This window comes from Homo sapiens, chromosome 12 (assembly GCF_000001405.40).
Source record: "Homo sapiens chromosome 12, GRCh38.p14 Primary Assembly".
Taxonomy (NCBI): Eukaryota; Metazoa; Chordata; class Mammalia; order Primates; family Hominidae; genus Homo; species Homo sapiens.
Window position 1 is genome coordinate 10,260,144 of NC_000012.12, and position 15,889 is coordinate 10,276,032.

Here is a 15,889-nt window from a genome sequence, read left to right on the forward strand (position 1 = left end):
GTATAACTAAATGCTCATATCATTCCCATCTGATGAGATGATTGCCTCTGAGGATAGAATTTTAGTATGGCAGTTGTTGTCAATCAATAATCATATAGCCTTCATTTTCTTTTTCTTTTTGTAGGTTAGCTTCCATTATAATTGTTGCTCCTTTGAAAGTAAACTTTGCTTCTCTTCCTACCTGTAAGTTTCTGTTTGTCTTTTTTTTTCAACAGTTATATATGATACACCTAACTTGTCATTTTATTCACCCTGCTGGAGTTCATAAGCCTTTGATAGTATGTAGTTTGATATTTTCTATCAGTTGTGGAAAATTCAGATATTATCTCTTCTACTCTAGGTTATGGGGAAATTGTGATTTATAAAAACAAATTTTAGGCCAGGCACAGTGGCTCACGCTTGTAATCCCAGCACTTTGGGAGGCCGAGGTGGGTGGGTCACGAGGTCAGGAATTCAAGACCAGCCTGACCAACATGATGAAACCCCGTCTCTACTAAAAATACAAAAAAAAATTGGGCTGGGCGTGGTGGCTCACGCCTGTAATCCGAGCACTTTGGGAGGCCGAGGTGGGCAGATCACAAGGTCAGGAGATCGAGACCTTCCTGGCTAATATGGTGAAACCCCGTCTCTACTAAAAAATACAAAAAAATTAGCCGGGTGTGGTGGTGGGCACCTGTAGTCCCAGCTACTCGGGAGGCTGAGGCAGGAGAATGGCATGAACCCGGGAGGTGGAGCTTGCAGTGAGCTGAGATCATGCTACTGCACTCCAGCCTGGGACACAGAGTGAGACTCCATCACAAAAAACAACAACAACAAAAAACCAAAAAAAAAAAATTTTTTTGAGGTAATAGACCATTAGGAGCAATTGCCTTAGCAAATTCATTGCTCTTTATGTGCATTTTTTGTTTGCTCTTGCTGAAAGAGCTCATTGCTGATGTGTATATACAAGTTCACTTTGAAGCACCGTATGTAGATGAGATGAGAGTAATGCAATTGGAAGAGACTTTCTGGTGTGCTCTGTTGAAAGTTATTCAAAGTGAAGTCTGGCTCAGTAGGGAAGGATGTTGCAATTATGAAGAGCACCTTCTAAGAATACTGTATGGAAATTTTCAGCATATATGCCATAAATTTACCATCATTGATCTGAATTGAAGTCTTTATTAAAGGCAATAACAGAACTTCAATACAATGAAAAAGAAGAAATAATATAGAAGTAATAGTCACATAGTAGAGGAGAACTAAAATATAAAAGACATCTATATTCTTTAGGCTTGCTAGGATCTACTGCGGGAAACATTACTGCTGTTAATGTCTTTTATTCACATTCCAAACAATAATTAGTATCAAAATAGTCCTTATGAAGAGCTATTATTCTTTTTCTCACTGTTCCTCTTTAGAAGATACATGCAGGGTAGAAAAACGTAAATCTGCTTGTATAAGCAGCTCTGACTATTTACAAAGAAGCAATATTCTTACAATTTGATTCATTATGATTTTTTGTTCTGGGATCAGCAAAGCATAATGACTATGTTCCTGATCTTTAGAGTTAGACTCTTTTAGCTTAAATCATAGTTTAAGCTTCTAATTCTTACTATTTCTGATACCCAGAAAAAAAGTATCATTCTCTCTGGGTCTTGGTTTTCTTATTAATACAACAATGGCAGTGGTAATACTTGTATCATAAGATTAATGGGAAAACACGTGAGTTAATGCCCACAATCATTGATGTAGTACCAGGAATATTTGAAGCAATCAACAAATATTAGCTCTTTTTTAGTTGCCACTTGTGACCAGATTCCCTTTAGTTTCTGTGTCTATGTGATGTTTTCCCCCATTGTTAGCCAACATTTGAAATTTCTTATATTTGCATTTACTTCTGTATGCAAATATATTTAAAATCTAAAATCATTTTAAGGTCATATTTTAATCTTTTGAGTTTGATTGAGATGTCTCCAATTTATAAAATGTTGAGTTTAGCATGCTTAAGTGAACACAATATGTTAAAAATTCTCTATTGATAATTATCTGATGTGTAAGAAAATGTAAGAATGAATACCACATTATACACTTCCAATTCTTCATTATTGGTCTTGATGGGACTGGAGCTCAATGCTTCAGAACAAATTTCCTTGATGCCAAGATTTTATTTTCAGTAGATATAAAATGTCAGTTTTCTTCAAAGGAAGACCAATTACCTTGACAAACAAAAAGAACATGCTAGAAGATAACTTTGTCCCCTACAGTCATTCAGTGAATTATAATTTTTGCATTATTGTTTTCAATTGTCCTCCCTAACTTCAAGAGAAGTCCTGATATACGAGAGTTTTTCTGACAAGTACACCATTGTTAACTAACTTTGGTCTTATATTTACAAAGTGAATATTTACCTAATACATATTTACATATATTTACAAAATACATCTAGATTTAAACAGCTTATGTGTGATAGATACCAACATTCCCATTGTAAACCAATACTTACCTTTGTTTTGTGATATTATGTTGCAATGTGCAGTCTCAATGGTTGCCTTATTCAGGATCTCTTTAAGACAATGAACTGAAATTCACAATATTTGCAAAAGAGAATACTATTATCATTTTCAAACATTTGGGATGGCAAATAAAACAGATATCCAAAATTTCTTACACACAATTTATGCATTCATTGTTTTAATTGAATGAAGAACAAATTGTAAATTATCATTTGCAATTTATATTAAGGTATGAACTTTTACTTATGAAATATATTTATGAGTCAATGACTGGTGATTTAATAAGCACATGTTTGTATATATGATTGATGTTATTCTAAGCAGTTAGTTAACCCAGGCAGTCAGGAAAAAACAACCTATGCTATTTTTGCAGCAAACACCTTAGACGTAGTGTACGTCTAATCAGTCACAAAGTACTGTTTATCACGACAATGCTTCATATATCTGTTTCCTTCTTCACAGTAACATAGCTTTTTCCTACTCAGATTGTCATTATTTTTATGCTGAGCTATTTTAATATTATACAAACTCTCTCTAATTTTCACTTTCCAGTATTTTCCACAAATTGCCTCCAGAGTAAACACCCCCAAAGCATACCTTGAATAATGGTACACTTTCAATCATCTTCAGAGGCTATGAACTATTTATATGCTAAAATTCTAATTCATTAACATTAAAATTATACAAAATTGTACCATTTACACAATTGTACTTTTTCTAACCAGTTATATTTTTAACTACCTTCATATATGAAATCTTTAAACTACATGATTTTGCATTGATGTGTTCTATAATATTTTTATGAATCTGGCACTAGAGATGGCACAATTTGAATTTTTAAAATAAGAATGAATATCCCTAATTTGAATTAATTTTAGTCTTAATGGTCCGTGGTCACGTATAAAAGATTTGGGAGACTTGACATGAATTGTAGAAGAAATCTGTCTGCATTTCTGCTTTACTGAGATCAGATCTGATCCCTGTCCAATAACAAAATCTTATAATATTTTACCCACAAAGTTTCAGTTTAGTCCTGTACAAACTCATGTCCCCATGATTTTAAGTTATCTGAACCATGTTATTCCAGCTTGAGTACCAGATGCATTGCTAGACTCATGGAAATAAATGTCATAAGTATTGCTGAGTCGTTCCCTCGCCAGACCCAGAGTATTGAAGTTGAGTATTTTTCTTATGATGATTTAATGGAAAAAGAAGAAAATATTGTCACTAGTTTTCCATTTGCTCAAATTTGCAATTTTCCATTTTGTTCCCAAATTGGGTTATTCCGTATTTTAAATATATTCTCATAGGATGGATGTGGCTAGTCATGGACATGATCTTAGTTGAACGTGAAACAACCACTTCCCTATCTTTTTCAAAATGAACTAATGAGAAACCAAATAATCAAGCTAAGTCTTAAGTCATCACTGCATAAGCAAGCCATGCATGAATTATTTTTCTACCCAAGAATATTCTTGTTTATTTAGCATTTCCTCCTCTATTTCTGTCATATATTTGATGATTTCTGGTTCATTTATGCTAAACCATTATTATCCACTGAAGGTTTCCCTTCTAATTGGTAATTCACAGATAGGATTAGCTTATTTGATGCAGGGAACTACTTCTAATGGTTCAACTGCTTCTCTCCTCCCTTTTGGTTACTAGGACAAAGTTTGATAATAGTAAAACAGAGGGAAAAGCTTCTGTTTATCAGGATATTTTACCAATTTATATTTTATTTCATTTAAAAGTAAGTATTCACTACACTTAAACTATGCTAGTGTTCTCAAACATTACCAAGGTGTAATTATCAAAGTAGTATGTCCAGTTGCTACAAAACACAGCTTCGCTCTAGCAATAAAATAGTCTTCTATATGGAGTGGTAATTCATTTTATCGAATTGTATTATTTTCCAGCTTTATTTAAGTATGACTGACAACAATTGTGTATATTTAGGGTGTACAATGTGGTATTTTGGTGTAAGTAGACCTGCATAATAATTCCCACAAGCAACTTAATATGTCCATCGTCTCACATAGTTACCTTCTGTGTGTGTGTGTGTGTGTGTAGTGAGAACACTTAAGATCTACTCTCTTAGCTAATTTCAAGAGTCCAATACATTATTGTTAACCATAATTACCATGGTGAACATTAAATCTCTAGATTTTATTCGTCTTTTAACTGAAAGTTTGTATCCTTTGACCGATATCTCTCCATTTCTTCTACTGCCTAGACTCTGGAAACCACCATTCTACTCTCTGTTTCTCTAAGTTCAACTTAAAAAAAAAGATTCCACATATAAGTGATATCATGCAATACTTTCTGTGTCTGGCTTATTTCACTAAGCATAACGTCTTCCAAGTTCATCCATGTTTTCAAAATGGCAAGATTTCCTTTTTTTAAGGCTGAATAATACCCTCTCTCTATATATGTACACATACATGCAAACACACACACACACATATTTACTTATATTTTACCTGTTATTTTTAGCACCATAATCTACCTAGAAATTATTTTTTACTTTTAAAAAAATTTTTTCAAAATCTATTGTTAAATATCTGTCATTTTGAGGAACTTATTTTATCATATTATATATAGACATACACATATATGCACACATTATTTGTACACAGAGACATATGACTTTATTATTAGACTCCTTCCTTTTGTTTTGATATATTTACTTCATAAACTTATCATGTGAAATTACTCACAGCTTTATTTCTAGAAAGGCTATATCCCTACCTCTTTTGTTAATATATTTCAACATATATATCTGGGCTGAAACAGCACAACATCATTACAGAGGAGTATCCATTAGAATCTTAGGCCATACGGTGGGGCGCGATGGCTCACGCCTGTAATCCCAGCACTTTGGGAGGCCGATGCGGGTGGATCACCTGAAGTCAGGAGTTCGAGACCAGTCTGGCCAAAATGGTGAAACCCTGTATCTATTAAAAATACAAAAATTAGCCAGGCATGGTGGCACACACCTGTAAGCCCAGCTACTCGGGAGGCTGAGGCAGGAGAATCACTTGAACTCAGAAGGCAGAGGTTGCAATGAGCCAAGATCATGCCACTGCACTGTAGCCTGGGTGACAGAGTGAGAATCCCTCTCAAAAAAAAGAAAAAGATTCTTAGGCCTAGGCCATACCGCTACATCTGATATTTACGACCTTGTGTCTAACATGTCCCTGTACAGCTTCTTCATTTATGGAGCATAATTTCCTTTTTCAATTATTTTCTCCTTTAAACAAGTAACACATGAATTTACTTTACAAAAGAAACTGAATATATACTGTAAAAAGTGAAGAACACCTCCCTTCATGGTCCCTCTGACACTATTTATATCAGCAAAAAAGATCACTGTAAAATGCTGTGTATATATATTTTTTGACCGTTTTCAATTTTTTTTGCATGCTTATGAATAAATTTACTTCTTTCTTGTTTCCATAGCAACAGATTATTGATTGCTTCCATACTAACCCTTGCTTCCACATTAATAGATTATTGCATGTCTTTCTGACTTAATTAGGTAAATTTATACATGTGTATGTGTTTGTATGTGTACATACATACTTGTTTCTTATTTTTAAAGTATAAGTAAATGTAAAATATAAGTAAAATATAACTTGACAGTTTCACACATCAAATTTGTATGAGAGGGTCCATTCTCCACACATTGACCTATGAGGAAAAGTATTATTTTTGTCAATTCAATGGGCAAAGGATGTATTTTAAAATACATTCTCATTTCCATGATTACCTTTGAAGTTGGACATTTTTCCTACTTATGTATCCTTGGCTCATCTTTTAAAAAAATTCTTTGTATTTATTTAACTGTTATACTTTTGATAATATTATATGGATTTGAATACGTATTCAAACTGTTTCAACTATTTTTTTCCTGGTCTGTTATTTTTAACACTGTAATCTACCTAGAAATTATTTTTTAGTTTTTATATTCTTAAAAAAATTATTTTTTCATACCTATTATTAGATATCTGTCATTTTGAAGAGCCTACTGTATCTTATTTTATATATATGCACACACATATATATGTACACACATATATATGCACACATTATTTGTACACAGGTGCATATGACTTTATTATATATTATTTGTACATATTTGCATATGACTTTATTATTAGGTTCCTTTCTTTTATTTTGATACATTTACTTTATAAAAGTGTCATGTGAAATCACTTACAGCCTTATTTCTTTTTTTTGTTTTTGAGTTACATAATAATTCCAGCATTTATTACTTTCTTGATTTTACACTTTGGTTTCTTTTTTTTCTTATTATACTTTAAGTTTTAGGGTACATGTGCACAACGTGCAGGTTTGTTACATATGTATACATGTGCCATGTTGGTGTGCTGCACCCATTAACTCGTCATTTAACATTAGGTATATCTCCTAATGCTATCCCTCCCCCCTCCCAGTAGCCTTATTTCTAGAAAGGCTAGATCCTTACCTCTTGTGTTAATATATTTCAATATGTATTTTATTAATCTCATAAAATTTTACTTTTATGTATAGTTTACAATGAACTGATTTATCATGAAAATACACTTGCATTAAAATTGCATAAGTGCAGAATGAATTTAGAACAGTATTATCATCTCAGTGTTCATCTTCCCACCAAGGTACATTTAATATATATTCAATTTATAATGTCTTCACTAATGACCTTCTTTATGCCTTTTAATAAAGTATCATAGTCTTTTCTATATATGCCATATACATTATTAGGTATATCAGTTTATTTAATAAAAAAATTTCACTAAATATTTACAATGTGTCAACATACTATTCAAAAGCAGAAGATAAAATGTTGAGCAAATAAAGACAAAGGCTCTGTTCTCATGAAGATAATCCAGCAGAAGTCAGCCATTGAGTACATAATCACAGAAATAATTATACACATGAGACTGGAAAATGCTACAAATAACTGGTACATAAGATATCATAACAGAGAAATTTGGCGTAATTATAAGAGAATAATTAGACTTCTCCTTTTACCTGTCACAGAATGAAAGAAGAGGAGTCTGTGCACATGCTCTATGGCTAGAAGGATCGTGGCTAAAGTTACAATTCACACAAATTTTCCCAGAGAAATCCTGATTTATGCCTGTTGTCCCAGAGTAATTGTTAATATGAACTACTGTCATTCTTACAGTTATCCTTGTTTGCACAATAGTTATGCAGTCACACTAACCACGTTACATTCAATGAACTAAAAGACAACAACTGTGGCTGGAGGCTGGTTCGGGAGAAAGGGTGTGCTTTTAGCTGGGGAAGGGAGCTGTGGACCAAGTATGGAAGGGCCTTGTAAACCATGTTCAGGCTTTTAAAATTTACACTGAATCCACAGTGTTAAGAAACTAATCAGTAAAGGTAAGTGAGTTTATAAAATTTGCATTTTGAGGAGACAATTCTGGAAATCGATTAGAAAGAATCAAGGGTAGGCATAGTAATATCACTTGGGGGTTTATGGAGTAGACAGAGAGGGAGATTATTGCCTCAGATTAGATGGGTAGGAGTGCAGATGTGGAGAATTACACTGGCTCAGTGAGCCGAGATATTCAGTGGCTGTGAGATAACACAGGTGGCCCCTAGCGTCACCTCACTAGACATTCGGTCAACAGATGCAGGGTAAGTTAACAGTATTAAAGTATGTGATTTATGTGATTTTTTTCTTGATCCTAGTAAGGACCAGGGCTGGGAATATAAAGTGTTTGAAAGTAATGTACCAGGCGTTTTTAAAGATATCTAAGAAGAAATGTCAAATAAGAGGCTTGAAAAGTGGACCTGGAAATTGGATATTAGATCTTGCTGGTATATAAGAAAGCTATTTTAATTTTGGATTGAGTTTACTTATTGAACTGTTCTTTTTATTTTGATTGTTTCTTTCCAGTAGTTTCTTTTTTAACCATCTGGATAAGAAAGCGCGTCATCTGCATATAATTTCAGTCGTTAATTTCAATTCCAGTTTATATTATGTCTAACTAGGTTTTCTTACATTGTGGCTTTTCCTTGCCGAAGACATGCAAAAAAATGTTGAATACTAATAGTTATAGCAGTCATCCTTGTCTTCCTGATTGAAAATGATTATAATGTTTCACTGTGAAAGATAATATTTGCTGAAGGCTCTTATAAATACTCTTAATCAAGTTAAATACGTTTGTATTTATTTCCTTTTCTCCTATTGAAACATCTCTTGATAAGTGAACAAATTTTTATCCCCAAGTTAAACCAGAATTTTATCATTATAACAGTGATGTATTATGTTGGCTCTTTTATGTAGGACTTTTGTTTTCTTTTTGTTTTTCTGTTTGTGAGGAATATTGTCCTAAAATATTTTCCTGTATGTAGAAATAATCCTAAACTAATTTTACTGATTTTAGGTGGGGTGGAGTGAGAATCTTTCATCCTTTGGTAGATACTGAACAGCTTATCTAGTAGTCATTTTCTGTTATTAAGATATATTTGAGTTCTTTCTTTCCTTTTTTTTTGTTTTTGAGATGGAGTCTCACTTTGCCGCCCCGGCTGGAGTGCAGTGGTGTGATTTCGGCTCACTGCAACCTTCACCTCCCAGGTTCAAGCAATTCTCCTGCCTCAGCCTCCCGAGTAGCTGGGATTACAGGCGGTTGCCACCATGCCCAGCTAATTTTTCTATTTTTAGTAGAGACAAGGTTTCACCATGTTGGCCAGACTGGTCTCAAACTCCTGACCTCAGATGATCTTCCTGCCTCAGCCTCCCAAAGTGCTGGGATTGCAGGCGTGAGCCACCACGCTCAGCCTCAAATTCATTCTTTAAAAATTATCAGCCAGGTATCTATTTGGAGGCACGTCTTTGATTAGCTTACTTATTTTGTCTGCAGTATGTAGTAATATTTATTCAAATTGTCTCTTTTTTCCCAAGTCATTTTATCATAGTACGTATCTTCATAGGAAATCATACATTTCAAAAAAGTTTATGTTTATTACTAAAAGTTACATATTCTTTTCTATACTAAAATAGTTCACTTTGAGATTAGAATTGGTTTATATCTATCTATGCCTCCATATGTTTTGGGTTGTTTTTCTTTTTTTAATGAATCAAATTCATCTTAACTTTCTATTTTTAAAGAACTTCTTCATGTTTCTAGTTTTCTTATAGTACGGAGTATTTGATAAATTTATTATTTTGAAAGATTATATGTTTCATAATATTAAGTCAAATTTAGTGCAAGCAATATGCAGATTCAGTTTGATATCTTGATCATTCTTTCATTTTTTGATGATTCTGTACCTACCATCTTCTATTGCCTCTATTAAATTGCTCTTTCAAATGATCTGAACTTAATGCCATAATAAGTTAACTTTTAACTGCCAAACCAATAACATCTATAAACATTTTCACATTTTATTACATCTCACAGCTTGTGAATCTAATGTCAATAACAATATAATAAAATATAGAATACTGGTACTATTTTCCGTTTCTATCAAACCACTCAGCTATCCACTAACATCTTTTTATGAGGACACCGGGGCCTATGCCATTGCTGATAACTCAAAAAACTGAATTGATAAAATTACTTGTATATAATTAAAATAACAAATGAGAAAAATATCTTGATGAAAACCTTAGAACCAAATTTAAAGGCTATTTAAAATTATATTTTAGTAATTAAAAAATTAATGAAGTTGCTCTAAAAAATACTTACTCTTAGCTACCATAGCTGCAACTATTACCAGAGCGATTAAATAAAGGAAGGCAAATATCACAGCAACAATGCACCATGGAGACACGGTTCAAAAAGAGAGAAGTTGGCTAATGTCATCAATGGAAACCAGATTCAGGAGTTGATACTGAAAAGAACTTTCACCAAGAATATTTAACCCACTTGAATTGGTCTAAAATGTAAGTTCATGGGAGCACCGTGCTGTGGGAAAATATACCTCAGCTTGTGGGGAGTAATTCTAAAAATTATTTTGCAGATTTAGGTGCATCCTGAGAAGATATTAATATTTTGATGTAGATATGCGCTGTTTATGAACTAACAAGTTGCCCTAGTAAAGAACTCTTCCAAAGGCTACAAAAGAGCACTTCAGAAATCCTACTGTGGGTTTAGTTCATTTCCCTCCCGTAATTTTTTTTTTTTTTTTGAGACAGAGTCTCGCTCTGTCGCCCAGGCTGGAGTGCAGTGGCGTGATCTTGGCTCATTGCAACCTCTGCCTCCCAGTTTCAAGTGATTCTCCTGCCTCAGCCTCCTGAGTAGCTGAGATTACAGGTGCATACCACCATGCCCGGCTAATTTTTGTATTTTTAGTAGAGACGAGGTTTCACCATGTTGGCCAGGCTGGTCTCGAATTCCTGACCTCAGGTGATCCGCCTGCCTTGGTCTCCCAAAGAACTGGGATTAGAGGCGTGAGCCACCGCAGCCGCCTCCACTCCCTAATTGTTTTTTTTTTTTTTAAACTATATCTTTCATCTTTGTAACAGAACTAGGTTAAGAACAAAACTCCAACTTTTGCTGTTGGCCAGACAGGTATTCTGTGACCGTTTTGATAAAAGTTACTTCATCGTGTTCATCATGAGGTATCTCACATCCTCCATTTGTAGAAATACTGAAGCACTAAAAAGACACTTAACTTTTTCGAAATTAAAATATCAAAACCAGGAAATTGTGTATGAAACATTCTTTTTCCATGATCTTGGTACACCATTCTAAGTCATCGTGGCCATCGCCGCCTGGTTGACCATTCTCATTTGCTCTTAACAGAGCACTGTAGGTTACTATGACCCACTAAAAAGTGTAGGGACAAGAAATCAATCCTGATTCAAACATTAGCTCAAGAATATTTGTTTTCGTGATTAGTTCATTAAAATATTTAAGCCAAAAAGTGAATCTAGAGTTTTAAATGGTTTTTACCTTTTGTTTTCAAAGTTTTAGTTATTTTTCCGTTCTGGATATTTGAAGAACAATGAACTTTGAGGTCTGAGTATATTATACTTTCCTCAGAAAACTCTAAAAAAGATTAAAAAAATGCATCCAACAACTATAATCCAGCTATATGTATATACACATACTTATATGATACATAAACATATAATTAAATGGCATATTATATGTGATACAAATTGTCACATTTTATAATCATAAGAAAGTTTTAAAATTGGCTCCATTTTTTTTTGCTTTGTGAAATGTGGTAAATTCTTACTCTTTTAAAAAAATTCTTAGTTCCTTATCTATAATATACAGGTAACAATACAATAATCGTTTATAGATCTATTGTAGAGATTAAGTTAATGTATATAAAGTCGATAGCATAGTGTTTGAAACATATTAACCACTCAATATGTGTTTTTCTTTAGTAGTAGTAATAATACCGGTGGTGTAGAATAGTAATTGTAAGAATATAATGGGCATTAGCATCTGCAGTAAAATTGGAAATAGAAGCAAGAGTAGAAATATTCAAATTAATTTAAATGCCTATTTCTGCCTCCTCTTATAGTTGAATTTAATCCTAATGAAAGGAGCATGAAAAGCCGTTATCTAATTCTCACTAAATAAATTCCTTCCACAACATATTGCATGTATTCCTTCAGTACAAGTGAAGCAGAACTCATAGACACCAAAAGTCAATGACATTCACCAAAAGTCAATAACATTACCCTAAATAATATTAAACCTAGTGCAACTGTAAATATTTACTTACCAAACTATAATTTTCTGAGATTTAAGTCCCCTCTAATTAGAAAATCCTGAACTCATTTATAAAGACAAAAGATTTTCAAATCCTCCTCTAAAAGTACCTGGTTATGAACTCATTATTTTTAATATTATTTTCTCATCAAAAGAAGAGATGATTTAGCAATAACAGCAGAATCTGGTTTTACCTGTATTTATTTCATGAAATGCCACTGGCGAAGGTTGAAGATCATGAGAGAGCCTGGACAGTGCTGATGTCTCTGGTTCCATTGTTCAGATTAAATTGTAAGGGCCAATGAGCACAGGGTCAGAATGAGATGGGACCAAGGCAACAGAAGTCTTAATATTGCGACATCAGAGAGGATGTTTACAGTAAGGCTAATATGTAAACTATGTTTTTGACTTAAGAAAATTAAAGATAATGTACTCTTACAAATTAAATTTGTTTTTTCTTTTATGTATGATGAACCACTTTTTTATTTCTAAAGATAAAATTTTAAATATTAACCATAAAGATTTCCTCTTTGCCTTAATTGCTATTTTTTTAAAATTAGAAAACAATAGACTAAATAACGTAATATAAATAAATGACATTGCATTTGAATGATTGTAACAGATACGGATTTTCAGAAATACCTTTTTTGTGATTGTAAATATTTATGCTCATTGTAGATGATTCAGTTGAACACAACATACAACCCTATTCCCTCGATATAATCTCTAACATAATTATTCACAGCTTTATCTAATTTTTCAAATGACCAATGGATGTTTCACTTTAAAAAGTAAAATAACTGTCAAATTAAATAATGAAAACAATTAGTACTTATTTCTATAATAAAATTTTTACAGTCATTAAACATAGATGAGATAGCTTTTCAGGTATTTATGTGGATAATTTTCCATGATACATTAAGTGGAAAAAAGTAAAAGTATTACATAGTATAACTTTATATTTTGGTAGAAAGAATTCTATAATTATATGTGTGTTTGTAATAGAATAAGATTATATGTCTGACCTGAAAAGATTGTAATGTAATAATATTTTGGTCATTAACTTGTTAAATTTGTATTTTTCATATGTGGTTTTCTATTTTTGTGTTACTGTTTCTGATGAGCATAATTTGTTTTTATCATTGAAAGGACTAAAGTGTGCATATGTGAAATTTCTTTTATAGTCTAATGTATGCTCTGAGACATACACACCACAGTAACCACAGGTCAACTGCCCTCTCCTTTGATGGATAGAAATAAACTTCATAACAAAAGCATATAATTTCATTGGCAGACTATGGAGCATTGTTGGGTCTTAAGTTGTTTTGGAAGAGTGCAAAGATGATGATCAACTTCAGATATTAATAATTCATATATACATGGATTAAATTCTAGAGTGAGTAGTAAAATGATGAAAGTATAATTTCAAAAATTACAGAAGAAAAAATAGATTGAGAAAAATACGTACATTCAAAAGAAGTTATAAGGGTGGGTGGAGTGGGGGAGAGATGTAAGATCAGGCAAGGACAAGTAGAAAGCATAAATTTATGTAAATTATAAAAAATCAGACATATCAACAGTAAAGGTAAACTCTGTAAATGTTCCAGGAAAAACAATTAAAAATTATCACAATGGGTTCTTAAAAATTTTTAAATGTTGGCCAGGCATGGTGGCTCATGCTTGTAATCCCAGCACTTTGGGAGGCCAAGGTGAGTGGATCATCTGAGGTCAGGAGTTCGAGACCAGCCTGACCAATGTGGTGAAATCTCGTCTCTACAAAACACAAAATTAGCTGGGGGTGGTGGTGCATGCCTTTAATCCCAGCTACTCAGGAGGCTGAGGCAGGAGAATCGCTTGAACCCGGGAGGCAGAGGTTGTAGTGAGCTGAGATCGCGCCATTGCACTCCAGCCTGGGTGACAGATTGAAACTCCATTTCAAAAAAAAATTTTTTTTTAAATGTTACAGGTTATTTACAAAAATTACATCTAGTAGATAAGGATGTGAAATGGTTGAAAATAGAAGATCAACATTTATGTAGTGCAAACATTAATCAAACCAAAGTATCATAGCTCCTGATATCTGACAAAACACACTTTAAGGAAAAATGTAGTAAGAAGATGGGTCTTTTAATAATAATCAAAGTTTCAATTCAACAGTAGTATATCACAATTTTAATATAACCCTTTAACACAATTAGATTAAATTGTGCTACCTGGAGGCGTTTGTCTAAACTGCCATATGTTTAATTTCTTTTTCATGCTGTCTCTTTGTCTCTATGGGCTGTGTTTTGAAAAATGACTTCAGAAATGTCATTCAATTCATTAATTCTCTCTTCATCCGTGTCTAAGTAGACATTAAATATATCCAATATATTATTTTGTCTTTCAAAAAATTATATTTAGTTCTTTTACAACTCCATAAATTTATGTATTTTAAAGAGTTTTTTGTTTTCTAAACACATTTCCAAATTTGTCTTATGTTCCCTTAACCATGGTAAATATAATTAATTTATACCATGTGTCTGATTATTGAGGTAATGGTTGTTTTGTATCTTTTTCTTTTTTGGAGAAGGAGTGTTGCTCTGTCACCCAGGCTGGAGTGCAATGGTGTGATCTCGACTCACTGCAACCTCCACCTCCCAGGTTCAAGCGATTCTCTGCCTCAGCCTCCTGAGTAGCTGGGATTACAGGCGTTTGCCACCACACCCAGCTAATTTTTGTATTTTTAGTAGAGATGGGGTTTCACCATGTTGGTCAGGCTGGTCTCCAACTCCTGAACTCAGGTGATCTGCCTGCCTCAGCCTCCCAAAATGCTGAGATTATAGGCGTGAGCCACCGTGCCTAGCCGTTATTTTGTATCTTCTGTCTTTTTTGTTCCTACTGGTTCTTTTTCGGGTACTTTGCTTGTGTGCTTAGTTTTTTATTTGTTTCTAGCTCTGAGTGTCTCATCTTTCTCACTAATTTATTCATGGTAAATCATTAAGCTTGGGATGAAATGGGTTGTTCTAGAGAACATTACAAATTAAGTTTGTATTTTCTCCTGCTAGGTGACAAGAAATATTACTAATTTAGACTATTTTAAAATGAAATCTTGACCTGCTGATCTTTTTAACCGGTGGTGGTGTTAATGCAACCTGCAAATCCACATGATGTCTGGCTCCAGAGATACTATTTCAGGAAGAAAATGTTCTTTCAACCATCGGGGGAAGCTGATTTAGTTTAAGTTTACCTTATCCGAAGCATGTAGTTAGGGTTAGGTGTTGCGGGAATTGTTGAGTTACTTGAGAAACCAGGTATTCAAAGTTCACAGTTACAATGGAATGTTATTTTAGTCATACCTCTAATATCAAGTGAGATAATATGCAAAACTGCGTTTGTATATCCTCCACTCTTTTTAAGATAAACTTTTATGATAATAAAAATTACCAATTAGATAAATCAATTAATATTTTTCCCTCTGAAATATGACAAACATACAGGAAAGGACAGAAAACATATATGTAGAGATTAATGAATAATGATAAAAGTTAAGTAAAGATAGATATTACCACACCCCAGAGTGTTTCCTGCATTGATCCTCCTTATTACAATGCTTCCTCCTAGAATTAATCATTCTTCTGATTTTCTTGCTTCTTATGCACATATTCTTAGTAGCTTTTTTGCTTATTTTAATTATATTTGTGTGAATAG

The 15,889-nt window shown here is 33.2% G+C and overlaps 2 protein-coding genes across 2 annotated transcripts in view; one reads left to right on the forward strand and one right to left on the reverse strand.

Moving 5' to 3' along the window:
- KLRD1 (killer cell lectin like receptor D1) overlaps positions 1-15,889 on the forward strand; it is a 90,648-nt gene that overhangs the window by 21,183 nt on the left and 53,576 nt on the right. The window lies entirely within an intron of this gene.
- LOC124902875 (uncharacterized) lies at positions 965-12,519 on the reverse strand. The gene is made up of 5 exons (XM_047429945.1): positions 12,394-12,519; positions 11,427-11,521; positions 10,217-10,301; positions 2,483-2,557; positions 965-2,195 (listed from the first exon to the last, which is right to left on the reverse strand). The coding sequence occupies exons 1-5, from the start codon at positions 12,473-12,475 to the stop codon at positions 2,167-2,169; spliced, it is 366 nt and encodes a 121-aa protein (XP_047285901.1). The 5' UTR covers positions 12,476-12,519; the 3' UTR covers positions 965-2,166.